At 39.2% G+C, this 26,846-nt stretch overlaps 2 protein-coding genes across 6 annotated transcripts in view; one reads left to right on the top strand and one right to left on the bottom strand.

Annotated features, from left to right (window-relative positions):
* HECA (hdc homolog, cell cycle regulator) overlaps positions 1 to 4,443 on the top strand; it is a 45,723-nt gene extending 41,280 nt beyond the window's left edge. The window contains exon 4 of the mRNA NM_016217.3: positions 582 to 4,443. Within this exon, the coding sequence (NP_057301.1) occupies positions 582 to 746 (165 nt within the window). The 3' untranslated portion in view covers positions 747 to 4,443. The remainder of the gene's footprint in view (positions 1 to 581) is intronic.
* The window catches only part of TXLNB (taxilin beta), a 164,789-nt gene that overhangs the window by 17,198 nt on the left and 120,745 nt on the right, over positions 1 to 26,846 (bottom strand). For 2 of the 5 annotated variants that reach the window (XR_007059219.1, XR_007059218.1), the window contains one exon: positions 25,316 to 25,424. The exons of the other annotated variants lie outside the window; for them this stretch is intronic. The gene's annotated coding sequence lies outside the window, so the exon portion shown is untranslated. The remainder of the gene's footprint in view (positions 1 to 25,315; positions 25,425 to 26,846) is intronic. 5 annotated transcript variants of the gene reach the window in all.

Genomic DNA, 26,846 nt, shown 5'->3' on the forward strand with positions numbered 1-26,846 from the left:
TTTATTTATAATTTGTGGTTATTCACTTAAGTCCTGGACCCATTGCTGAAAGGTTCCAGGACTGTGCTGTTACGGAGAGGCTAGGCATGAGTGAAGATGCAGGGTGCTGGGAACTCCAGAAGCCTCAGACCAGCACCGCACTTCCTGGATTGCTAATTTTACTTGAGTATCTTGGGAAATTTTATTTTTACATCAAAGAAAACGCAACTTTTCTATAGAGTAGAATGAAAAATGAAATTTCAAAGAAGTTTCGTGGAGGTTTGGGTGAGGGAAGTCAGCTTCAGCCGCTGTCTTAAAATCCAGGGGGAGGGGTTTCTTATTGTTAGGGAACTTCAGTGGAGAGCATTTAGGCAGTAGTAGTTTAGAATTTTCTTCTCATAAGTAGGTGAAACAGCTAGCAGTGCTGCATATCAGGAGAGAAGTTGGGAGTCTTTCAGGTATACCCCGTTTCCATGTTTTTGGTAGTAAAAGGGATGCTTTGCAAAGCCCTTGATCAGTTTCCCAGCATTTTGGTTTGGATGACTTTGACAAGTGTTGGGAAGTGGAGGGGTGTTGTGGCTGATGGTGTCTGTTTCCCCCAGGCCCGCCTGAACTGTAAGCACTGTGGGAAGCCGGTGATCGACGTGAGGATCGGGATGCAGTACTTCTCCGAATATAGCAACGTCCAGCAGTGTCCACACTGTGGGAACCTGGACTACCACTTCGTGAAGCCATTTTCCTCCTTCAAAGTTCTCGAAGCTTATTGATGAAAGCTTTGCTTTAGTAATAGCTATTTTATTGATATTATTACTTTATTACATATCTTTTATAGGGAAACATTCTGTGACATTAATTTCCTTTCTAATTTAAAGGAGAGTTACTTTGTTGTATGTGTGCCACTAAAATAGGGGCTGCCCTTGCCCTGTCTTGATTCCCGAGTGTTAATCTGTGGTTTTGACCAGAGCCCAGATGGGTAATCCTGTGCATTTGGGTTGGGGTTCACTCTTACCAAGAATCTTTGATGCAGCTTTAAGATGGTGGGGAGGATGGGGTGAATTTAGGAAAGGAATTTGTGGTTATAAACTAAGAGCTTGATAGGAGTTGGAAGGAAACTCTTACTAAAATGTTAACTTTCTAAAAACCTTCTTTTAGATCTTCCTTGGGCCTTTGGAAAAATATGTGACAAGTGAATGTAAGTCTGTGCCTGGAGAGCTAATAGTGCATTAGTCTATCTCAGCCTAGTGTTCTGCAGCACACATGGGCAGGCAGTTTACTCACACTGACAGGTGACCTGAAAGTGGCACAAGTGCTGTTTCTATCACTATTGTAATTTGCCAGTTCATTTTTCATGCTGAAAGTAATATCCAAATTGTAAGACATATGAAAGATATTAGTGTTGCAAATATGTTTAGGTAAACTGACCTATAACAGAATATGTGAAATGAATTTGGAAATAATGCAAGAAGGCAGAACTCAATCATTTAAATTGTGTCTTTGAAGTTGGTAATATAGCTTTTAAGGAGAACCCATGAATAACCTGATTTGGGCAGTGATGATTTATTACAGGTTGCACTGTTGAAGTGTCATTTGGTGTCAGGTTCTTCTCACAGGTAAATCTTTCAGCCACAGAATCTAACTGGTGAGCTTCAGAACCAATAATTGCCACATTTATTGTCCTCAAAATTGCTTATGGCCATGTATAACCAATTAATTCTGAGTTTCCAAAATCAAAGATTTGACCTTAAGAGGGAAGGGAAAAAAGTGTGAAAGGATGATGAAGAAAATAATTTTACTATTTCTTTTAAAAGTATGTTTTGGAAAATCAATGATTTTAATGCATAGCAGTATGTTTGAAAAATAGACCATTCTAAAAAGCCCATGATACCTTACTGTTGATGAAAAAGGATGATCATATATATAGAACTTGATTAGTCAGAGCATTGGGCATTCCAAAATACAGCCTTTGGTTCAGTAGATTTTAATGCTTTAAATAGACTGACGTCGCATACCCTTATAGAATTGGAATATGATTTCTCAAAAATTAATTTGATAATTTCATGTATGATGTGCATATATGCTAAAAGAATGCAGAAAATCATTTTATGAATAGCCAAATTTGGGGTTGATGTGAACATTTTATGTTACTCATTTGGTTTATACTTTTTTTTTTTTTTTTTTAACTGTGTGGTTTTTCTTTTCAGAAGTATTTAGGCAATATTGCACGTGAGTTTCAGTTCTTTTTTTCTTTTTTTTGAGATGGAGTCTCACTCTTGTCACCCAGGCTGGAGTGCAGTAGTGCGATCTCAGCTCACTGCAACCTCTGCCTCCTGGATTCAAGCGATTCTCCTGTCCCAGCCTCCCAGGTAGCTGGGACTATAGGCACGTGCCACCACACCCGGCTAATTTTTTGTATTTTTAGTAGAGACAGCGTTTCACCATGTTAGCTAGGATGGTCTAGATCTCCTGACCTTGTGATCTGCCTGCCTCGGCCTCCCAAAGTGCTGGGATTACAGGCGTGAGTCACTGTGCCTGGCCAAGTTTCAGTTCTATATGAAGTATTTGATGTTTTGTTTGAAACAATACAGCATTAAAGAACCAATGTTATTCACTAATATCATTCATCTTTCAGTTTGGATGATTTGGTTTGCTGCATCTAGGTTGGTGTTTGATCATCTGAAAAAACATTTCAGTGGGAAGAAATGCATAAAATGCCTATAAGAAGTAGAAAGTCATTGAACTGACAGTGTTTGATGCAACTAAAAGAGGATTGTAAGACATAGCTTTCTGCAAACTTGTCTTTAATGCACAAAGCTGTAGTGGTGAATTAACTATCTCCTTATTGATTCTCTCCTGTACCCAGATGCAAAAAGTGCTAAGTTTCTCTTGTCCTCGTAATACCATTTGGATTTTATTTCTGAATTTAAATAGTAAAATATTTATGATGCTGATCTTTAACCCACCTAAAATTTTATAGTGAAACCTGCTTTATATTGTTGTTCTGAAGCTTACAATTGACCTATACATTGCATTCAGCAAGCTCCTGAATTTAGAACTGCCGTCAGTGTAGTGTATGCTGTGTTCCATGTTGCCTTTTTAGATGGCTTTCTACCCCCTGAACAATAAATAGGATGAGGTTTTACTGTAATTGGGTAAAGTTTACTCTTGGACATTATTTCGATGCTAAAGTAAGGATTCTGTGGATGTTACTTAAAGAGAAAAGCATAAGAGCATGAAGCATATCTGGGAATATCTTTTGCCTTTAAGACGATTCATTCTTGTCTAGAGGGAAAATCTGGCTGATTTGGGAATAAAATATAATCGAATATTCAACACCATGAAGATAAATCTTATTTTGGAAATCTACTGACCTTAATACCCCAAGCTTGCCCTGAATACTTTGATTGGAATTGGAATATATCAAAAAAGGTTAGTATTTTTGTTGTAGTTAGGATACTAAAAGGATATTAGTTACCCAAGAGATCCAATTTGTTTTTCTGATGAATAGTGTTCAGTAAAATGAAGCAGTCTTAAGAGTGACTAATAATTTCAAAGTGATTTTTCGTCTATTCTTAATATTTTTTAATTATTTATTTTTAAGAGTTTTATACCTTGAGCAGATACAATGATCTGCTTTAGTGAGAGGACAATTTCTGATTGATTGTTTTCTCTTCAGGCCATCTCACCTCTTCATTCTCTTGTTACATTTGAAGCAGTTGATATAATGGGTTTATACTTTAAAAGATAGACATGGTGCCATGAAGTTGGGGAGTTGGGTGAATTATCCCATTCTAGTTACAGAGGAGCTTTCCTTAAATGCCCTTTAACTTCTAGGTTTTGTTCAAGAAGTTCATTTTCTGAGTAAAAGGTATTTTCATATATGTTGGGGGAAAATTAACTCATCTAAAAAGAATCTTATTAGGTATTTGAACTCTAAAACTAACAGATAAGACAGATATGTACCTTATTAGAGCACCAGAACTAATTTGCTAAGTCTTTTGTTTAGTCCTGCAAGACTGATGCTTAATACACAGTCTGTTCTCCTGTGTCTAGGTCAGGAACTCCAGTTTGCTTTTCTGTTTTGTGTCCTGGTAGCAGCTGTTGAGTAACTTTCATTGGAGGTTGGGAAGGAAGTGAGGAGAAAGTGTTCTTGTTTAGTGTTTTATTTCCTATAATAGGATGCTGCCTAACCCAGTTCATCTCTATGTCCTGTTCACTGAATATTCCGGGTAATTGAAAGAAAATATAATGGATGGGCTCCATTAAAACCAGCTCAAAAATAAATTCTTGTCAGTAAAGATTTCTTGTCAAGATGTCTTGGATTGCACTTTTGTTGAGGAAAGACAGTGTAAATAGTTAAAGAATGTTGATAAAATTGAAACATTTGGTTGTGGAATTGTGTGTGGTTTTAGAGGGTTTCTGTTTGTGAAATGTATGTATTAAAAATAATAAAATTCCAGAAACTAACATTGTACTCTGTCTTTAGTTTGTCACTTTATTTTTCATTGAGATTTTTGAGCAGTGGGATTGTCTGGTCAGAAAAGATGAAGAGAAAGCTTTCTGAGGTTTTGATCACTATTCAGGTAACCATTTCAAAGTCACTCCTGCAGCTAATAAAAAAAACTGCCAACTTTTTTGCTGCTTGCGTCATGTATCACATGTAAACTCACTTTGCAATAAAAGCTTTCAGTATGACAAAGTTGATTCTATACGAATAGTCCAAAATTATCGTTCCGGTTTTAGGGAATTCTATTATTTGATAGATAGTATAGTGTTAAAGATTAGATAGACCCCCAAGGTCAACCACCCATAGCCACATAGCCAAAACTTAAGTCGTCCTGATTTCCCTGAAATGCTAGTTCTAATCAAAACAAAATGCAAGGCCTTGTCGGCATGATTTGGTGAAATCAAACTTACTAGCCATACAGTAATCCCCCCTTATCTGCTGTTTTGCGTTCTGCAGTTGTTTCAGTAACCCATGGTCACCCTAAATGGAAAATTCCAGAAACAATTCACATAGTTTAAATTGTGCACCATTCTGAGTAGCATCATGAAATCTCAAGTCCTGTGCCATCCTGTTGAGCAGGCGAATCATCCCTTTGTCCAGTGGATCCATGCTGTAGACGTCCCACGCCTATTAGTCACTTAGGAGGCTGCTAGATGAGTCCCGGTATTGCGGTGCTTGTATTCAGGTCACCTTTATTTTACCCAAAAGTGACCCCAAAGTGCAAGAGTAATGCTAGTGTACTCATACACTTGTTCTATATTATTACTAGTCATTGTTAATCTCTTACTGTGCTTAATTTATAAACTTTATCATAGGTATGAATGTATAGGAAAGGTCTTGGAAAGGATCCCCTAAGGATAAGGGAGTGCCTACTGTGTAGACAAATCAACAACTGGTCTGCTTTCCTTATAAAGAATGTTAACATGTAATAGCCAGTTATAAAAGAGGGTGAAAATACTTTCTCCCTTATGCTTTATAAATGGTACTATAACTGCTGTGTGCAGACTTCTAACCATTTTGGTTTGAGGTCTCCAGGTTTGCCAGCTGTTCTTTTATGTGCACAATAAACATACAATTTTAAAATTTGATCTGATTTTATTTTTGACAATAGATTATTCCACAGATGCTTTTGTTTCCTAGGCCTGTAACAATTTTCATCATGAAAAGACTTGATCGTATGCTTCTTCATTATAAGCAAAGAAGTCTAATTGAACGTCTTGCTGACTTCATATACTGTGATCAAGAATAGTTTATCCTTAAATCTCCTTGTCCTCTTCAATTCAAATATCATTCTTGGCCAATAGATTGAAATCCACAAACATTAGAACACAAGATAAGTTGGGGAAACCTGGGTAAAGAAAGTCTTGAGTCTGCCAGTGGATTCAAAGCCTGTGTTGCTACTTACTAATGCAGATGTCTGAGGCATAAATTTGACTTTATTTAAAGCCTTATAAAGGACTTGGGATATGATTTCTACCAATGTAATTTATGGTCAGCAAAATTCCTTTGAAATTTTAAGGAAGGTACAGTTCATACTGTAGAAGGAAAAAAGTTGCAGAAAAAAGAAGTTAAATGGTGATTGGTAAGCAATTAGTTTAATGGAAGAAAATTGTTACTTCTTATTGGTGGTTTCCATTACTTTAGATCTTGCTTGTATTGTTTTGACTTAAATTTGGCAAATTCAGCAGCAATTAGATTGCTAATTATCTAGGCTGTTTAGTAAAGGGTTAAATTTTCAAAGGGGGAAGAAATTCTTGTCTTGAGCTTTTCTTCTTTTTCTGTTCTCTCAACTCTGCAGTGAGGTAAACCTTACCTGCTGAATGTGAACTACCTTTGAGGACAATAAAGTGCTGTACAGATGTAATATTTGAAATAGTAATGTATTTTTAAGGCATATTTTTTCTTTAGTAGAAACTTTTAGCATTGTGGTAATTATATTAGCTCTACCTGGCATTGCTAAGCCTCAGAAACAGCAAAAGTAAAAATAAAGCAGTTTGTCTCATGAAGTTCAGTAAAACAACACTGGTTACATTCATCAGTGTTCAAATGGAATTGGCTACCGTAGCACCATTTCTTGGTGATGAACACCATCTCAGGCGGTTCTGTTACACTTGATTAAAAATTTAGATATCTAAATCAAGCATAGAACTAATTGTAATTCCTAATAAACCCAGTTATTCTAAGAGTGAGAAAGTCATAGCCAAAACAGTCATAGAATTTAGACGTGTCAGAATTTGGAGCAAGGGCTATGCTTTTTGTTTTACCCACATGGTAAATGTTTGTGAATTTCATTGACAATTGTACTCATTTTAGAGGTAAACTGAGGCCCAAAGAAGTTAAATCTAAGTAAGTTCATATAGTTAATGACTAACTAGGAATTAAATCTGGATTCCCACTCCTAGTCCTCAAAGTGAGATTCGGTAACATACTCAGCTAGCTAACTCTTGCTCAGAGGTAGAGAATTCATGAACTTTCTTCGGTTTTCCCTTCTGTTTTCTGTTACCACTTGCATACTGGCCACCTTTAGCATATTAATTGTCAGATCTGGACATTAGTAGTCTGAAGAGATCGTTGCCAGTTGTGCATGTTACTTTTGAAGCTGTTTTAAATGTGAACTTTAGATCCTGAAGTTAATTTTTTTGTTGTTGCTTTCATTTGGTGTTTACTGATTTCATTTTCTGATGCTAAGGGTAACAAATTGGGGGGCCTATATGAATGGCACTTAGACTCTCTGTAAAGGAAAGAAAATGTCAATTACAGCCATGTACACTTTTACCAGATATGTTAATAAGATATCTAACTTGATGTTGACTAAAGAAAAAAATAGCAACCTTTTAAATAATTAAAGGTTGTTTTATTCAGAAGTCTTACTGAAGACTGTAGGCTGAGGCCTGTAGCCCAGGAGCAGCCTTTGAGAGAGGTTCTGCCAGGCTGCTCCAGCACAGATACTTCAACCCACTGCTTATATACAGATGCTGGAGGTTCGGTACGTGCAAAATCACATCAGAGTTTGGGTTTAAGAGTACATCTAGTTGTAGATTACAGAAGCATAATCACTAAGCCTGTCAGACATTATATGTTAGAAAACACAAGGACTAGGGTCATTTATCTTTTAAAGAATATAGTGACCAGGCAAGAGACTTGGAGGACCGTCTGCTAATACTGCACTGTCCTCAAAGCATGCTTTCAGAGAGCTGCACATTGTTGTGGAGTCAGCGCTTCGTGAAATTATGTTAGCAAGCAGAAATGAGCAGACATGGCTGCTTATGTTTGCTACTTTGTCTCCTACGAGGTTGGGTGTAATACACAAACATGGAAGGAGAAGTGTCTGGACATTGTACAGAGCAGGGAGTCCCCAGAAGTAAGTGAGAGGAGCCTTGTGGGTGTGGAAATTACAGATTTGCTCAATATATGTATCAGTGGATGGGCACCTTGTTTTCAGTTGAGAAATAATTTGGGCTTGTGACAAGGGAGTAGATTTAAAAGCTATAGTAGCCCTTGCTTCAGCAACACAGGCGCCAACATAGAAGTAATTCTGTGAGGCCTAGCTGGGCCCTCTGCATAGGAGTGATGAGCACATTGGAAGCATCCCCTATTTTAGAAAAAGAACACTTTCTCAAAGGGAAAAAATTTGAAATCAATAGTTGTGTCTTCACCTCATCTTTTAATGCATTAATTTGTTGACATCTGTTCTCTTTTGTTAAGATAGATGATTGCTTAAGGAGAACTCTGGGTATAAGGTGACGTTTTCACAGTCTACACCACGAATTCATCATTTTACTCACTTGGGGATCTAGCTTTGAGTTATTTTTGGATTCAAACATGTCAAGCTGTCGGATTTGATAGCATTGATCTATCCAGTTTGGGCAGGGTTTTCCTTTTTGACTAACTTTTCTAACAGTTCCTCTAGGTGTGTTTAATTTTCAATTTCTCACAATCTTGTTAGAAGCTCTGGTATCCCAGACTGTTGAGGGTTGCTTGACTTGATCAGGGTTTATTGGAGTTCCATATAGTCTTGGAAAAAGTGCTGGTTACATGTTTCTCTTAAGGAATGACAATTTTTTTATGGTTTAGGGGCTGTCCCTTGCTAATTAGCAGTATTCTAAGTTACTGCCAAACCATTGGTTGAATAAGCGCTTTATGCCTTTTTGTTATTTTCATCACATTAACAAATTGCATATTTTTCTGAAGCTCTGATGACACTGCAGGTGATTGATGAGGGAAGTAAAGCCGGGTGAAGCCTATAGGCTTGCGTTCCTCTGAGGCTCCAGAACCCCATGGTTCTGAAAAGAGAATGATTTGGGCAGGGAGTGGGATAGTGGGAGTCCTGGGGGCTACTGTGCATATTTCAGAAAACTTAATGGAGATCACAAAGTTACCCACCACAAGGCTGCACAGGATACCTAAAAGGTCAGTTTACTTTTGGCAGGAGTTACTGCAATCTTGGTTATCAAGCTGCTCAGAAACACTGGCAGTAGCATATGCCTTTGATGAATAATATATGAAAACAAATGAATTACCTAATAAATGCAGTTCACTTTAAAGACATAAGTTTTCAAAACACAGGATAGAGTTGTGGCCGGGTGCAGTGACTCAGGCCTGTAATCCCAGCGCTTTGGGAGGCCGAGGTGGGCGGATCATGAGGTCATGAGATCGAGACCATCCTGGCTAACACGGTGAAACCCCGTCTCTACTAAAAATGTGAAAAATTAGCCGGACGTGGTGGTGGGCACCTGTAGTCCCAGCTGCTCGGGAGGCTGAGGCAGGAGAATGGCGTGAACCCGGGAGGCGGAGCTTGCAGTGAGCCGAGATCGCACCACTGCACTCCAGCCTGGGCGACAGAGCGAGACTCTGTCTCAAACAAAACACACAAAAACATAGGATAGAGTCATACTGGGTTAAGGGTGGTCTTTGGTGATGGGAAAATGCCATTTAAAAAAATGTCCTTCACTTTTTTTCTAGTCCTTTTTCTTCTACCTGTTGTGATAGTTTTGCCTATCTTACTTATCCTTACCTGCCTATCTCTCTCTTTCCTACTTTGTCCTTTCTGTTGCCCTTCCTGTTGCAACAAGTTTCTTAACCATCAGGATATAGTAGAAGCTCCTTGACAAACCCAGACATTAGTTAGTCAGCAAATCAAAAAAGAAGTTAGTTGAGAAAATAATTACCTACAATCAGCAAGAAGATCAACAAGTTGACCCTATAATCAGTTGATTTTCGGCAAAGGTACAAAGAGAATTCATTGAATAAAGGATAATGTAACAAATGGAGTTGGAACAATTTGATATCCATATGCAAAAATATATAAATAACCCAATCTGGATCCATATTTACACCATATTTTTAAAACTAACTCAAAATGGATCAGATGTAAAATCCAAAAATGGATAGATTAGATGTTATTAAAATTAAGAATTTCTCAAAAGATACTGTTAGGAGAATAAAAAGACAAGCGCCACAGACTGGAAGAAAAGGATTTGTATCCAGAATACATAAAAAGTTCCCCCAAAAAACATTTGAACAAACACGTTAACAGAAAAAGGAATGATGACACATAAGGTACTCAATATTGTTAGTCATTACGGAAATGCAAATTAAAACCACAATGAGGTACCACTTCACACCCATTTTAATGGCTGAAATTAAAAAGAATATCAAGTGCTGGCAAAGATATGAAGTAATTGGGACTCTATTACACTGCTGGTGGGACAGTTTCACAGTTTTCTTAAAAAGTTAAACATGTGCCTAACCTATGTCCCATCCATTCCACTCCTGTGCATTTATTCAAGAAATGAAAGTATATGTCTACCCAAGGACTCATTCATGAATGTTTGTAGCAGCTTTGTTTGTAATAGCCCCAAAAAGAAACAATCCAAATACCCATCAACAGAAGAATGAACAAAATTGCAATATGCAATTGCAGAGTACTACCCAGCAATAAAAAGGAACAGATTCTTCATACATGCAACACCATGGACGGACCTCAAAATAATTAAAGTGAAAGAAGCCAGAGAAAAAGACTACACCCTGTATGATTCCATTTATGTAAAGCTCTAGAAGATGCAAATGAATCTGGTGACAGATTGGTGGTTGCCTGGAGATGGGTGGAGGAATATTAATGAGAAGAGAAAGAAAATGATTGCAAAGGGCATGAGAGAATTTGGGGGTGACTGATGTGTTCACTGTCTTGATTGTAGTGATGGTTTCCCAGATGTAGACATCTGTCAAACTTATTAAATTGTATACTTTAAATATGTTTAGTTTATTCTGTGTCAATTATACCTCCATCAGCCAGAAAAAAATACCCTCTTCTCCCCCCTGCACCTCCCTACCCAGGATAACTTGTATATCATAAACATTTTATTTATATTTAAATCAGTAATACACTTTCATTTGACAGATTTGGTTCTTTAGACCCTCTAGTTGTAGGACTACACTTTCTTGCAAACCTTCATTTATGATGCACTGTAAGAATGCTTCCTATTTGGTTCTCTTTAAAGTGGAATTGGAACTTAATGACACATGAGAAATACTATAAATATAGAACCTCTCTAGACTTGTAGGATTTCCATTTTTTAAAATCTTTTGCTTTTTTTTCCCCATGTTTAATTCAGTATTTTGTGTATATGATTTGCCTCATCTGCTCAAAGCATCCTACTGAGTTATCAAAACAGTATTTTTTTTTTATAATTATATTTCATTGGTTTGTGCACTTTTTTATTAAATTACATCATTGCAATGGCAAACGTAACTGTGGCATAAGCAAGTCTGGGAATAAACCTGAGTAACTTTTGGTAAGTACAGAACTCTGCTGGGGGAAACCATATGCAGATGGTGCCTGATAGCGAGGAGGCTCCCAGCTGCCAGCATTCATCTGGCCGAGGTCATTCATCATAGTGTGGCTTTACAAAGCAATTTAGAGGCAGTTAATTGCTGGATTGGTTAAGGAAAGGTTGATTGAGAGAAGATTCTACTGCTCAAGCTCGTTTAAATCCTTACTTCCCTCACCTGTAAATATTGAGTCCCTACCTGGGGGTGTTAAATGAAATCATTAAATTAAGTGTTTATTGCAGTCACTGGCATGGAGTAAGTGCCAAAGATGTTCCGTATTAGGATCATTTATGTTATTTCTGGAAGCATTCTTATGTTAGGGCAAGATTGTCTGACTCAACACTTATTTTACCGATGAGGAAAATGGCTCAATGTTTGATGGCCTTTTCCATCACCAACCAGTTAGGTGGTAACCCCTAAGAAAGCTTCCCAGGGGCCTTCTTACTAAGAGGCTCCTGAAGAGTTCTCTAATAGCAGTGGAGGAATTGCAGATCCTGTGTCATGGATACAGGAGCTTCTGAGAGTGGCTTTACTTTATGTCTCTCAAATCGATGGGTGCGTTGATGGAAAGGGAGATAAAACCAGGCCTCAGTGAGGCAGTGAGATGAGAAGAGGGTTGAGAAAGTTGTGCAACTGGCAGGCAGATAAAATCTGTCTTAATAAGGATGGATAGAAATTTTGTGACAGCCGTATTTGTTTTTTCCCTAGTTGGGTCAGCTTCAAACTGAGACCTGTGCTCAAAAACCTATTTCTTCTTTGGATGGAAAAATGATCCATTTGTTTCTCTTATCTAAAACAGGATCTGTGATCTACCCTAACATGAAATTTTAAGTGTAGATTATTTTTAAAAAATCTAATCGAAATTCTGACAAAGCATTTGACTTATAAGGTTTGCATTTTTGTATTAAGAATTTTATTGAACTGAAAAATTTCTGAAAGAGAAATTTCACTCCCAACGTCTCTCATTTACATTTTTGTTAGATTTATTAATGCATATGTAGCACTTTGTATGTATGCCGGGAAGCAAGAGCTTTTTGAAAAATTGTGTTGGAATCTCAATTGTTTTCCAGATTTCTTTTTCTTTCTTTCTTTCTTTTTTGAGACGAAGTCTTGCTCTGTCGCCCAGGCTGGAATACAATGGCATGATCTCGGCTCACTGCAACCTCCACCTCCAGGGTTCAAGCAATTCTCCTGTCTCAGCCTCCTGAGTAGCTGGGATTACAGGCATGTGCCACCATGCCTGGCTATCTTTTTGTATTTTTAGTAGAGACGGGGTTTCACAACATTGGCCAGGCTGGCCTCAAACTCGTGACCCTCAGGTGATCCACCCACCTCAGCCTCTCAAAGTGCTGGGATTACAGGCGTGAGCCACCATGCCCGGCCCAGATTTCTTTAACCTCGTATTCTATGTAGGTGGGATATAACCTGTGGTTCTTTGGAATTGGGGTTTTAACAGTAAGCAATCATATGATGTGTAGTGTAAGAAGCACTAATGTTTTATTACAGCTTTCGGGGTAAAAGCATTGCAAAGGAGGTGACAGGCGTATTCTGTTGCCCAAAAGTTTATGATTTCTCTTTTGATGTTTTTCATGTTGCATGTTTGGATTTGCATTAGTTGAAAGTTCTAAGAAAATATCTAGCAAATTAAGCTACATGTGAAAGCTTTATTCAAAACTGCTAAGCATTAAAATTCAAAAGGATGATTTTATCTAAGAAGAATATTTAAAATAGTCAAATTAGTGTTTTTTATTATTAGAACTGCCTCTATATTGAGGTTAGAGCAAGTACTTTGGCATTTAGTTTTCTTGGTTTATGTGTAATTTTAATTAACAAGATATTAATTATGAGTCTGAGGATTTCAGAATTTATTATTAAACCCAAAAGAAAGGAAATAAGAAAGGTCTGAAATAAATGGAGTTCTCAACTTGTAGAGATGTGCTCTTTTTGAAAATACAAACTTCCAGGTCAGATTTCCAGTTTGGGCCAAGGAAGTAAGCTTTCACCTCTTCAAAGACAATATTGTCTTTGCAGCTGTGGAGGTTTGCGGGGAGAGAGGTCAGAGCCAGATGAAAACAGTTTTATAGGATCTATGTCAGCATTTAGCAAGGTTGATCTTGTCGGGTATGAAGTCACTCAGATGGGGGATACAGAGATATTGCTAGCTGTTGTACTATGGAAGTCACGTGATGGGATTCCATGTAAATGTCACTCCAAGTAGGCTCTCCTCTAGGGCAGGGACTGTCTTTGACAACTTCTATCCATAATGCCTACTATAGGGCTGTGCCCATTAGCTGTCTGTCAAACAAATGTGCTGGCAGCTGTGGGGAATTCAGACAATTTTCTTTCCTAGTTTTGTGTTTTGGGTGCCTACTTCCTTGGGGATTCCTTTCAGAAAACCAAATGTCAAAATATTAACAGTAAAGAAAATACCTGGATCATAAGAACTGCCTTCATATCTTACACATTTAGAATAAAAGTGATTCTTAGTCTGTTCAGGCTGCTATAACAATACCTTAGACTGCGTAACTTATAAACAACAGAAATGTATTATTTACAGTTGTAGAGGTTGGGGAGTCTAAGATCAAGGTGCCAACAGATTTGGTGTCTGGTTGAGGGCCTGTTTCTTTCTTTCTTTCTTTTTTTTTTTTTTTTTTGAGACAGAGTCTCGCTTTATTGCCCAGGCTGGAGTGCAGTGGCACGATCTCAGCTCACTGTAACCTCCACCTTCTAGGTTCAAGCGATTCTCCTGCCTCAGCCTCCCAAGTAGCTGGGACTACAGGTGCCCACCGCCATGCCCAGCTAATTTTTGGTATTTTTAGTAGAGACGGGGTTTCACCACATTGGCTAGGCTGGTCTGGAACTCCTGACCTTGTGATCTGCTCACCTCGGCCTCCCAAAGTGCTGGGATTACAGGAGTGAGCCACCACGCCTGGCCAAGGGCCTGTTTCTTATAGATGATGTCTTCTAGCTGTGTCCTCACATGGCAAAGGTGTGAACAAAGCATACTTGGACTTCTAAGGGCACCAAACTCATTCTGATTAGATCAGAATCCTGATAATCTAATGACCTCCCAAAAGGCCCCACCCCTTCTGTTGTTTTTTGCTTTTGTTTTTCTCTTCTTTTCACAGGTGTTGAAGGTCCCACCTCTAAAAGCCATCACCTTGGGGCTTAGAGTTTCAACATATGAATTTGCAGGAGGAGGCACAAGCGTTCAGACCATAGCAGTGCTCCTGTGTGGGATTATTTAAGTAGTTAAGATTAAAAAGTTAGAAAACGTCAGAAAAAGAAGACACCTTAAAAATCCTGTTTCCCAATCCCTGTACTGTATAGAAAGGGGGACAGATACAAGAATTGCTTAGAATCAAGACCTCTAGAGCTGTGCCATTCAGTACAGCAGCCTAGCCACATACTGCTGTTCAAATGAAGTTTAATTTTTTTTTTTTAATTAAAAATCCAGTTTATCTGGCCAGGCGCGGTGGCTTACGTCTGTAATCCCAGCACTTTGGGAGGCCGAGATGGGCGGATCACCGAGGTCAGGAGTTCAAGACCAGCCTGACCCACATGGAGAAACCCCATCTCTACTGAAAATACAAACTTAGCCGGGCTTGGTGGCACATGCCTGTAATCCCGGCTATTTGGGAAGGCTGAGGCAGAAGAATCGCTTGAACCTGGGAGGTGGAGGTTGCGGTGAGCCGAGATTGCACCATTGCACTCCAGCCTGGGCAACAAGAGCAAAACTCTGTCTCAAAAAAAATAAAAATAAAAAAATCCAGTTTATCAACTGCACTAACGATATTTCAAGTTCTCCGTAGTCACATGTGGCTAGTGGCTACCATATTGGACAGCACCCATTATACAACGTTTCAATTACTAGAGAAAGTTCTATTGGACAGTGCTGGGCTAGATTTTTTTCACCAAAATCTTTCCTGTCCTCTGTGAAAACCTTAATGAGTGGGTTCCTAATTATTAGCCCTTAACACTGTTTCACATATTTCAACAAATGATTTAAATTTAGAAACAATGTATGGAATACTTCTGTTACTTATTCATTTTTGGTTATCCTGGGTGTGGGGCGGTGTACCTGGGAGACTCAGGGAGTTGTGTTGAGTTCATTCAGACATCAACAGCCTTAAATAAGCAACCACAGGGACGCGAGACAGAATGGAAAAGGGCGCACTTGGCCTCCTAAGAAACACAAGGCTAATTTCAGGTCTGTGTCAAGCGAAAGTAACTTCCCAAAGCTGGAGTTCCTAACATCCCTGCTCAATTTATCCTCTTCTGTGAGCAGCTAAGCATACAGTTAATTCATTTTTTAATAACCTAATATTAATGGCATTTTTTTGAGTTGATAATCCCTTAGGAAACTTCAATGGACTTAATCCAAGATGATTTTTCTTTGTTGAGTGGTTCTCATAGATCACAGTACTAATTGGATTATTCTAAGTATAACAGTGAAATAAGTGGAGGCTGAATCTTGGGTTTTTACTTCTGATTTATTTATTCAACCAATTAACAATTTGGGAACCCTCTGGAGTCACAAGTCTTGCAGACATACTTGTCTGCCAGCTGAGGACTGTAAACTGAGTGCATCGAGGAAAATAAAATCCTTGAATACAGTCTTGGATCAAGAAGTCAGCTCTTTAAAGCTATTAATCAAATGTCACCTTCTTATGAAGCCTACCCTGACCACACTATTTAAATTGCAACCCTTTGGGCTCCTTTTCAATAACAATTATCACCTTCTGTCGCATTTAGCATGCTTATTGTTTATTGTGTGTCTCTTCCCACTGAAATCTAAGCCTGTTAAGGACATAGGTACTTGTTTGATTTGGGGGAGTCTATTTCACTGATATATACCAAGTGTCTAGAACAGTGCTTGTCACATAGGAGATACTCAAGAAATAGTCACTGAATGTATGAATAAGTAGAATATGATCACAAAGAGGAGGATTGTTTTCACTTGATCACTCCACTAAAACTACTGTTGTGGGTCGGGCATGATGGCTCACGCCTGTAATCCCAGCACTTTCGGAGGCCGAGGCAGGTGGATCATGAGGTCAGGAGATCAAGACCATTCTGGCTAACACAGTAAAACCCCGTCTCTACTAAAAAAAAAAAAGAAAGAAAGAAATACAAAAAATTAGCTGGGCATGGTGGCACACGCCTGTATTCCCAGCTACTTGGGAGGCTGAGGCAGGAGAATCACTTGAACCTGTTAGGCGGAGGTTGCAGTGAGCCGAGATTGTGCCACTGCACTCCAGCCTGGGCAACAGAGCAAGACTCCGTCTCAAAAACAAAAAACAAAAAAAAAAAACAACAAAAAAACCCTACTGTTGTGAAGATCACTGGTGACCTCCATGTGTTAAAACCTGTGGTCATTTCTCAGTCCTCATCATACTTAAATTCTTCAAAGCTTTTAATACAATAACTTCCTCTTCTAGGACTCCATGTGTTGCAGGTTTTCCTCCTAACTTACTGGCTAGCTCCTTCTCAATTCCTCCTTAAGTGGTCCTTCTTCCTCTCCCAGTCTCAACAATGGAATACCCCAGTGCCCAGTCTTTGACCCTCTTTTTTTTTTTTTTTTTTTATCATTGTCTTGGTGATCTCAGTCTGTTTCATGGCTTAAATCACAACCATATAGTGAAGACTCCTAAATTGATATATCTAGCCTAGAGTTCTCCTCTAAACTCTAGACTGTATTAGTTTGAAAACAACCTCCAAATGTCAGTGGCTGAAACAAACATCTATTTCTTGCTCATGGGTTTTCAGCTCAGCTGCGTCTCAGCTCCAGGCTGTGGATTGGGTTTACATTTTCTCCCTGTTTCATAAGTGGATCTTTTTGCTGATCTTCTTATTCTAGGACCCCAGGCCAAAGGCACTATCTGTATCTGGTCTGTGATATTCTATTGCACCAGAGAGCAGAAACAAGAGGGCAGGTGGAAGTCTTTGATGCCTCTAAACATGGCATATGTCACATCTTCTCACTTTTTTTTTTTTTGAAGACGGAGTTTTGCTCTGTCGCCAGGCTGGAGTGCAGTGGTATGATCTCAGCTCACTGCAACCTCCACCTCCTGGGTACAAGCGATTCTCCTGCCTCAGCCTCCTGAGTAGCTGGGATTACAGGTGCACACCACCATGCCTGGCTAATTTATATATATATATATATATTTTTTTTTTTTTTTTTTTGAGACGGAGTCTCGCTCTGTCGCCCAGGCTGGAGTGCAGTGGCGCGATCTCGGCTCACTGCAAGCTCCACCTCCCGGGTTCACGCCATTCTCCTGCCTCAGCCTCCCGAGTAGCTGGGACTACAGGCGCCCGCCACCACGCCCGGCCAATTTTTTGTATTTTTAGTAGAGACGGGGTTTCACCGTGTTAGCCAGGATGGTCTCGATCTCCTGACCTCGTGATCCGCCCGCCTCGGCCTCCCAAAGTGTAATTTTTATATTTTTAGTAGAGATGGGGTTTCACCATGTTGGCCAGGATGGTCTTGATCTCTTGTCCTCATGATCCACCCGCCTCAGCCTTCCAAAGTGCCGGGATTACAGGCGTGAGCCACCGCACCTAGCCCATCTTCTCACATTCTATTGGTCAAAGCATGTCACATGGCCAAGACCAAAGTCAATGAGACAGGAGTATACTCCATCAACTGGAAAGGGAGTGAATGATTTTGAATAACAACACAGTCTCACAGAGTATCTATCAGACATTTCAGACTTAGCATGTCCAACATTGAGTTCTTGATCTTTCTCTCCAAACTTGCTCCTTCTACATTCTCCCCCATTTCAATTACTGACAAGTCCAATTGCTTAGACCAGAATTCTTGGAATCATCCTAAATTCTTCTTTTTTATATTCCATACCCAAAGTTTTAGAAAATCCTATCAATTCAGTCACCAAAATATGTTTAGAATTCAACCACCTCACACAACTCAGCACTACTGCTTGATACGAGTCATTGTCTCTTGCTTACCATATTGCAATAGACTTCCAGTTGATCCATCTGCTTCTGTCTTGGCCTCTCAATGTATTTCCATCAAAACAGCCCTGTCTGCAAAACTGTATAATGTTTTTCTTTCAGAGTAAAAGTCAAAATCCTTGAAATGGCCAACAAGAATCTAAGTGATCCAGCCCCCAATTACTTCTGTAAACTCTTAGGGAAGTGTTACTACTCTTTCCCTTGCTTGCTCTGTCTCAGTGAGGTCTCCCTGCTATTCTTCTAAAATACCAGGCGTGTTGCCACTTGTATTTGTTTTCTCTCGTTGCTGTAACAAATTACCACAAACACAGTGGCTTAAAACAACACAAATTTATTATCTTACAGTTCTGTAGTCAGAAGCCTGACACAGGCCAGGTCTTGCTGTGCTAAAATCACAGCGTTAGCTGGGCTTCATTCCTTTCTCAAGGGCCTTCAGGGAGAATTTGTTTCCTTGCCCTTTCCAATGCCTGGAGGCCATCTATGTTTCTTAGTTCATGGCCCCTTCCCCCATCTTGAATGCCAGCAAGGATGGATTGAGTCCTTCTCACATTGCATCACTCTAACCTCATTTTATGCCTCCCATGTCCACTTTTTAAACAATTTTAAAACATTTTATTTTGTAAGTTTTGTAGAAACAACGTTTATTATCATTCCTTTCACTTGGTAGTTTTATGATAGCTATATAATGTAAAGAAAATACAATGATTATTTTCACCTAGGCCCATGTAAGATGTCCCTAAAATTCCTCAAATTTACCCTGGTGTGCCACATATTTTTATTTTCTATGTGTGACATTGATGTGAAGTCTGAGAAGCCTGTGCATAGCTAGAGTGTCTAACATGGAATTATCCAGAATATGTGCAGTACATTTGAATAGGTTCAAGAGATACCTTCATCCAACTATGGTGAAAAATTTCAAAAGAACCAGAAAAACCGTGACAGATTTACATGAGGTCCATCTTTACAAAATTGCATTGAAAAATAATTCTATCACATTAAAAAGTTAAACCACAAAACTGAAGACAACCTAATGTAAACAAAGTGATCAGAAATGATAAACTTCAAGTTGATGCCATAATTGTAGTTGCATGGTTAAGTTGAGAAAATACTGGATATTAAAAGCTCAGTGATGACTTTGTATGCTAACTTGAGTTATTTCCTTGAATAATGGTTATATTGAGGAATTGGTCAATTTTCCCTTTGTTCTTCTGCTTGTTTTGCTGTTTTCTCCAAATACGTCTGCTGAGGTGAACTAAAGATGACATTTTTCCCATCATGTTCTCTAAAAATCCACTAGATGGGATCTTCTAAAGAATCCAACATACTCTTCTAGGAAATTGCTGATGGTCCCTAACCACTCTACTGTGAATGACACCAGACCTCAAAAATAACATTGAAAATGCACAGGTAAGACATAATAGTTGTCAGCAGCAAATATTTTCTTTGGGGAGGAAAGGGTGAGATAAGACAAAAAAGGAAAGGAATCTACCATATAGGTTGCAGTAATCTTAAATGCTCCAATTAAGCCATATAATAAATCTTCCATGGATACATTAAAACATATTTGAAGCAAAATTTCCAGCAACTAAGAGTGTTTGGAACATGAGAGTTTAGAAAATAGTAGTAGCAATAATGATTATTGCTATTGTTGTTAATCCTTATCATACTATTTTTATAATAATAAAGGAAGTCATAGCTACTGTATCTCCAGATCTGGTTTTTTTTTTTTTTTTTTTTTTTTTTGAGATGGAGTTTCGCTCTTGTTGCCCAGGCTGGAGTGCAATGGTGTGATCTTGGCTCACTGCAACCTCTGCGTCCCAGGTTCAAGCTATTCTCCTGCCTCAGCCTCCCTAGTAGCTGGGATTACAGGTGCCCACCACCATACCCAGCTAAGTTTTTGTATTTTTAGTAGAGATGGGATTTCACTATGTTGGCCAGGCTGGTCTCGAACTCCTGACTTCGGCGATCCACCTGCCTCAGCTTCCCAAAGTGCTGGGATTACAGGCATGAGCCACTACACCCGGCCCAGATCTCTTTAAACCTTAATAAATATATAGAACTTATAGGAAATATTACTGCAATGTCCCTTATAGTCAATTAAAAGGTAAATTAAAACCTCAGCCAAGATAGCAGTTTCTAAGACATCAAAAACACTCATTGAGTTCTATACTATCTTTGGTTATTTTCTTAATTCCAATTCTGAAAAAAAATAAATGAATTCAAGCCATGTTCACTTTTAAGGACCTTTGTGAGTATATTGGGCCCACCCAATAATCCAGAATAATTCCCTTATTTTAAGGTCAGCTGACTAGCAATCTTGATTCTGTCTGCAATTTTCATTAATCTTTGCCCTATAACCTAACATGTTCACAGGTTCTAGGGATTAGGGGATGGACAGCTTTGGGGGTGGGGGGTTATTATTCCACCTATTATATCCCTTCAGGGAACTACCCTTACTATTCTCTTTTACTGTTCTACTCTCCCTTCAGTTATCTCTAGATCACACACTCTTATAGAGTTTTACTGAGATGTGTTTTTCTCAATTAGGTCTTTTCTGACTGTTGAAAATGCAGCTGCTGCCTAACCTCCTATTTCCCCTACTGGTTTTATTTTTGTCCAAGGCACTTATGACCAACTAACATCCTGTATATTATATTTATGTATCATATTTGTTGTCTGTTTTCCTCACTATAATGCAAGCTCCATGCAGACAGTGATTTTATTTGTTCACTGCTGTATTCCCAGTATCTGGAGTAGTACGTGGCACCTAGTAAGCACTCAATAAATATTTCTTGAGTGTGTCAATGAAGACTTTTCATCTTTCACTAGTTGGAGGTATGATACATTACAATCAGTTACAGAAATCAATCAATCATTGATTGACAAATATTCCTTGACAATTATGTGACTAAGACGACGTAAATGTAAATAAAAAGGTCTCTGTAATCTAGGAAAGTTATACAGAGGAATCAGGAATCTGAGGAACCCAAACAGATGTTAGGTTATTAAGTCAGTGTCTTAGTCCATTTGTGCTGCTATCACAGAATACCTGAGACTGGATAATTCATAATGAACAGAAATTTATTGACTCATATTTCTGGAGGCTGAGAAGTCTAAGGTTAAGGCTCCAGCAAGTTCGGTGTCTGCTGAAGCCATTCTCTTTTTCCAAGATGGCACCCTGCATGCTACATCCTCTGGAGGGGAGGAAGGCTGGATTCTCACTTGGCAGAAGGCAGAAGGACCAAGATGTAAAAGTGGGCTGAACTCTCCTTTTATATGGCATTAATCCCACCCATGAGGTCATAACTCTTATGGCCTAATCATCTCTTAAGTTCTCACCCATGAGTACTGTTACACTGGCCAAGTAAATTTCAACATGAGTTTTGGAGGGGACAAACATTCAAACCATATCAGTTGGTATAAGAGGCAGCATAAACAAACAAACAAAAAATCCCTGAGAAAACTCCTACCATCTTTCAGTAAAACTATTTCTGGCAATGTTTCCTCAAGCATTGTTTTAGGAGGGCCTACTCAATATCCATTGTACTTTTTTTTTTTTTTAACTAATAAACCTGGATTTTGTTCTGGGAAGCAACATGCCCAGACAAAATACTAAATCTATGTGGAAGTCTTGGGTAGGGCTGCTGGGGAACTTCTTAAAGAGGCCCTACTCAACTGGAAGGTACCCCTTCTCTCCTTTCTCCTTCTTGCTTCCTGGAAAAAGAGTGAGAGGTCAGGAGCTCCAGAAGTCATCTTGGAATGGGAGGTGACTATAAGGAAGGAAGCCTGGGCTCCTGAGGACCCTGGAGCCAGCATCTCAGGCCGGGGTGCCTACCTCCAGATTGTTACAATGTGAGACAGATAAGCTGTTGTGTTGGTTATTTTCCTTTTGCAGCCCTCTCCCCAAGATCCCTCCTCTACTCTGTCTTCCATAATCTGTGCCCTAGGAAGGTCCATTGCTCTCTGGCTTCCAATTGGTTTTGGCCAATTGAGGTGCATGGCAGGAGACCAATGCAGGAGAAGGGAAGGATAATTTTCCCCACTCCCTGCTTGCATTGTCTTGGGTCTAGCAGAGGCTCTGTTCCTCTATGGCCATAGCACCTGCTCAGCAGCCCTTCCTCCCAGGCTGCAGCTCTTGATGGGCTCCATTCACACCATCCCCTCAGCCTAGGGGTGGTAATGGCCTCCCACTGCTGCTAACCCCAGGGAGCGTCATCATTCCTCTTTGTTTCCTGAACCCTGTCCATACCTCTATAAATACTGGCTTCTTTAAACTTTGTTTCAGCTAAACTCTTTCGAATATGCCATCTGTTTCTTTCTTCCTTTTTTTTTTTTTTAAATCATCCAGCCCAAAATGTCAATGTGCCATCTCTTTCATGCTGGGATCCCCAACCGATAAAGGTTCATATTTAGGTTTCCTGCTGTATGCAGCTAAATTTAATCCTGACTGGTGTAGCCTACAGGGCCCATGTTGTTAGAAAAATATCTATATTTAGATCCTAGATTCACACTCCGTTCAGCAAAATGATCATATTGTTAGTAAGATCTTTGCCTTAATTTTTTTTTGCAAACTAAATTATTTTTTAAAATTTTCCTTTCTAATCTTCCTGTTCTAGGTTTTTCACTAAGTTCTTTCTCCTAAGCTTCAAGCTTATCTAGCATTCTAAACCTGCGACTCTACCAATTTCTTGCTAACAGCTGCTGTCTACCTGATGTCCTTTTACCAGTCAGTCAAATGTGTTATTGAACATTTCTTGAGCATCACCCTGGGTTTGGCCCTGGGGTCCAGTGGTGAATGAGCAGACAGGCTCTGCTGCTGTGGAGCCACCTCATCTGGCAGGAAATTCAGATGCCAGACAGACCATTGCTCAAGTGACTCCTCTAAAAAGGAGAAGAACTCACTGCTACACATAATAGTGCATTGAACCCAAGCTGGGGGAGATAGGCAGAGGAGTTGGGGAGATGGCATCTAAGCAAAGATATGAGCAAAGCCTCAGTAAAAATATAGCCAGGCATAGGTGGTGATGGGATCAGAGTGAGCTTTGCTGGTAAGGGATGCTGAATTAATAAAGGCCTTGATTGGTGCCTTTCTAGAGCATGGTGCATTTCTAGAATTGAGAGAAGCCTGGTATGACCGGAGCAGTAAAAAAGTGGGGTGGGGTAAGGCTTGAGTGGTGGGTGGAGACTAAAATTTATAGGGTTCATGATGCTTTTTTAAGGATTTAAGACTCAATTTTAAGACTTTAATGGGAAGCGATTTCTCGTATCTCTAAGAATGGGCCTCACAGACCTCCAATGACAGGAAGCAAAATCATACCGGGGCCCAGCAACAGTGCTCTGAAATCTATCAATGTCTTTGCTCTGAGGCTTTCATAGGTAGCTCCAGCCAGTAGCTGAGCACAGCCAGGTGATCAAGGCGGGCCCATTCCTGGAAGATATGGGACTCCTTTGAAGGCCATCCTTAGCTGAGGACTCCCCTGCAGCCTTGCCAGCTTTTCCTCAGGCTCCCTGGTAATCCAGGGCTCTCCCACCTTCCTTCCCTCTCTTCTACACTTGCGGCCAGATCTGCATTGTGTACCGAGAGCTCTTCCAGTGTCTTCTGTTTCTCTATTTTCTCTCACAGGCATCTCCCCTAATAATACCATTGCATGTTTAATCCTGTCTTGGTGTCTACGATCTAGGCTATATATTTTAAGAGGGACATTTGCTACCTGGAGCATGGCAGATAAGAGTACCCATAGGGTGAGAGAAATAAAAGACCATGCCTTATGTAGCGTGGTCAAAGGACCTCCATGTTTAGCGAGGACCCTGTCTAGCACACCATGGAAGGATATTGAGCAGGGAAAAACAATGAAGATTTAGGTATTTAATAAGTAATTTTGGGATGCCATGATCAATGGTGGATGTCGGGAGATGAGTCAGGAGGTAAGAGATGCTGGTGACCATGTAGTGAGAGTGGAAGTGGAGAGAGGTGGAGAGAATGGACAGAGATTTGGGATGTAAAATCAGTAGGGCTCAGTGATTAGGTTGGTGGGATGTCTCCATTAGGTTTCTATTTTCTTTCACTTCCCTGTTAACAAAGATTTATTGAGGGACTGATACCCCAGTCCAGCCTAAATTTCATGACCTAGTGTTTCAATTCCCATCTTGTCAATATTTTTCTTGTTACCCCTTGTAACTGCAGTGACAAAACACCAACTTTGGGCTGCCTTCCTTGAGCCTAGTCATAGCCTGGGCAGCTGCTGGAGAACACCCCATACCATGCATCTGGGTCATTTTACCTTCCTGGTCTCTATCCAGTCTCAATAGATCTACAGTCTCATGCTCTTTTAATCATTTTTCCTCCCCTATTCTTCCTGGCAGCTTTTATATTTAAATCTCTTCTTGATTCTCTTTAAACCCAACCCACCAACCCCTCTTCCTCATTCACAGGAGATAACCTTGCCTTTTACTTTACATTGAAATAAATTAAAAAATCCTTCAACTTCTTGCCACCAAATTACCAAACTTCACAATATCTGGAACTTTATTCCATCTTTCTTATCTTTAAAGAGTTGTCCAATTTCCTGTGAAGTGAAATTGATGGAGGCCAGTGTTTTGGACTGAGCTCCTGCATCAGGCCCCAATAGAACAGACAGAATCAAAATGGAGTCACTCACGCTGAAGCTCCACATCACCAAACTGAAACTAAATTGGTAATCTGACCTTCCAAAAAATCAGGAGAGATGATAGACAAATTCCCCAAATAGGCCAGTGTTAGCTGGCACGATAAGGAATTCCCTCCTGCTTTAACCCTTATAACCTGATGTTAACCAATCCACTCTTTGTATTATGTTGTTTTTTTTTTGTTCCTGCTCAAGCTACCTTACAAAAATTGACTGCTCCAACATGCCTCTGGCATAGTGCCTATTTCTAGGTGAGATGCTGCCCAATTCATGAATTGCAAGTAAATGCCAATTAAATCATTTAACTAAATTTGTTGAGATTTTTGTCTTTTGACACTTCTCTAATGCTAGTACATTTTACCTATTTCCGCTGCTGTATCAGAGATTCTCTCAGCCCTGATTCCCCGACAGTTCCCTCTTTACTGGCTCGTCAGTGCTTGGTTGGTTGGTTTGTCTGTATTTTTATTTGGCTGTGTGAAAAAAGAAATGGAAGACAGAAAGCATTACCCTGCTCACACTGGCTGACTCAAACACCTTGCTATAAACATGCTGGAGAAAAGCCTTAGACTGGCCTCAAAGCTGAAAACACCGGGGAAAATTAACTGCTTCCTACTCGTTACAACATTACCTTCCTAGCATGCTACGGCCAGTCACTTACTGCAGTACCCACACCATAACCACTGCTTTCTCTTCTAATAGTGATACATATTTTTAGTTTTATTATTTCTTTTGATTGAAATGATGCCATATGAAATTTCCATTTGAAAGTTTCTCAGTTGTATCTAGTTACATAGTACAGTTCAGAAACCTGTCCCAGACTGACTTTATCAGGAATCTAACTGGCATAGATCATATCCATGTATACGTGGTTGTACATTCTTTTCTACTGGACTAACCAAGAACCATTTCAGTGATGCAAATCATGTGACCTCTGGTTTAGCTGAAAAAGCCCTGGACTTCTCAGAAACCTTGATCAAATTTTCCACTATTGTACAAATTGGCCATTTTAGGAATTTCAAACTTCAATCATTTGGTCTCTTTTATATTTTATTTTTATTTTGGTTGTGTAATGGGACCTAAACAAATAAACTTTGATCTTTGTTTTAAAGATTATTAAAAACTTACGTGTATGTACATATAGCTCTTCAAGACCCACAGCTTTCACTATGCTGTAGGATATTGTCTCTGTGTAGTACATATGACATTGCAGGTTAATTTTCCTTGAGTGCTTTATACTCTTATTTTTCTCGTAAATCTTTTAAAATTGACATGTAATAATTGTACATATTTATAAAGTACAGTGTGATATTTTGATACATGTATACAATGTATAATCATCAATTCAGGATAATTAGCATATCCATCACCTCCAACATTTATCATTTTTTGTGTTAGAAACATTCAAAATCATCTCTTCTAGTTGTTTGAAAATATACAAGAAATTATTGTTAACTAGTCACCTTATAGCAGTATAGAACACTAGAATTTATTCCTTCTATCTAGCTGTAATTTTGTATCTGTAAACCGCCTCTCCCTATCATCCCTCCCTGCCTTCCCAGCTTCTAGTAACTATCATTCTATTCTCTACTTCTATGAGCAGAACTTTTTAAGCTCCCACATATGAGTGAGAACACACAGTATTTATCTTTCTGTGCCTGGCTCATTTCACTTAATATCCTCTAATCTCATTCATGTTGCTGTGAAAGACTGGATTTCATTCTTTATTATGACTGAATAGTATTCCATTATTTGTATATAAATACCACATTTTCTTTATCCAGTCATCTGCTGATGGACCCTTAGGTTGATTCCATGTATTGTCTATTATGACAATATGTCTATTATGAATAATGCTGCAATAAATGTGGGGGTGCAGATATCTCTTCGCTACA

The sequence above is a fragment of the Homo sapiens genome, chromosome 6 (assembly GCF_000001405.40).
Source record: "Homo sapiens chromosome 6, GRCh38.p14 Primary Assembly".
In the NCBI taxonomy this organism is placed as follows: domain Eukaryota; kingdom Metazoa; phylum Chordata; class Mammalia; order Primates; family Hominidae; genus Homo; species Homo sapiens.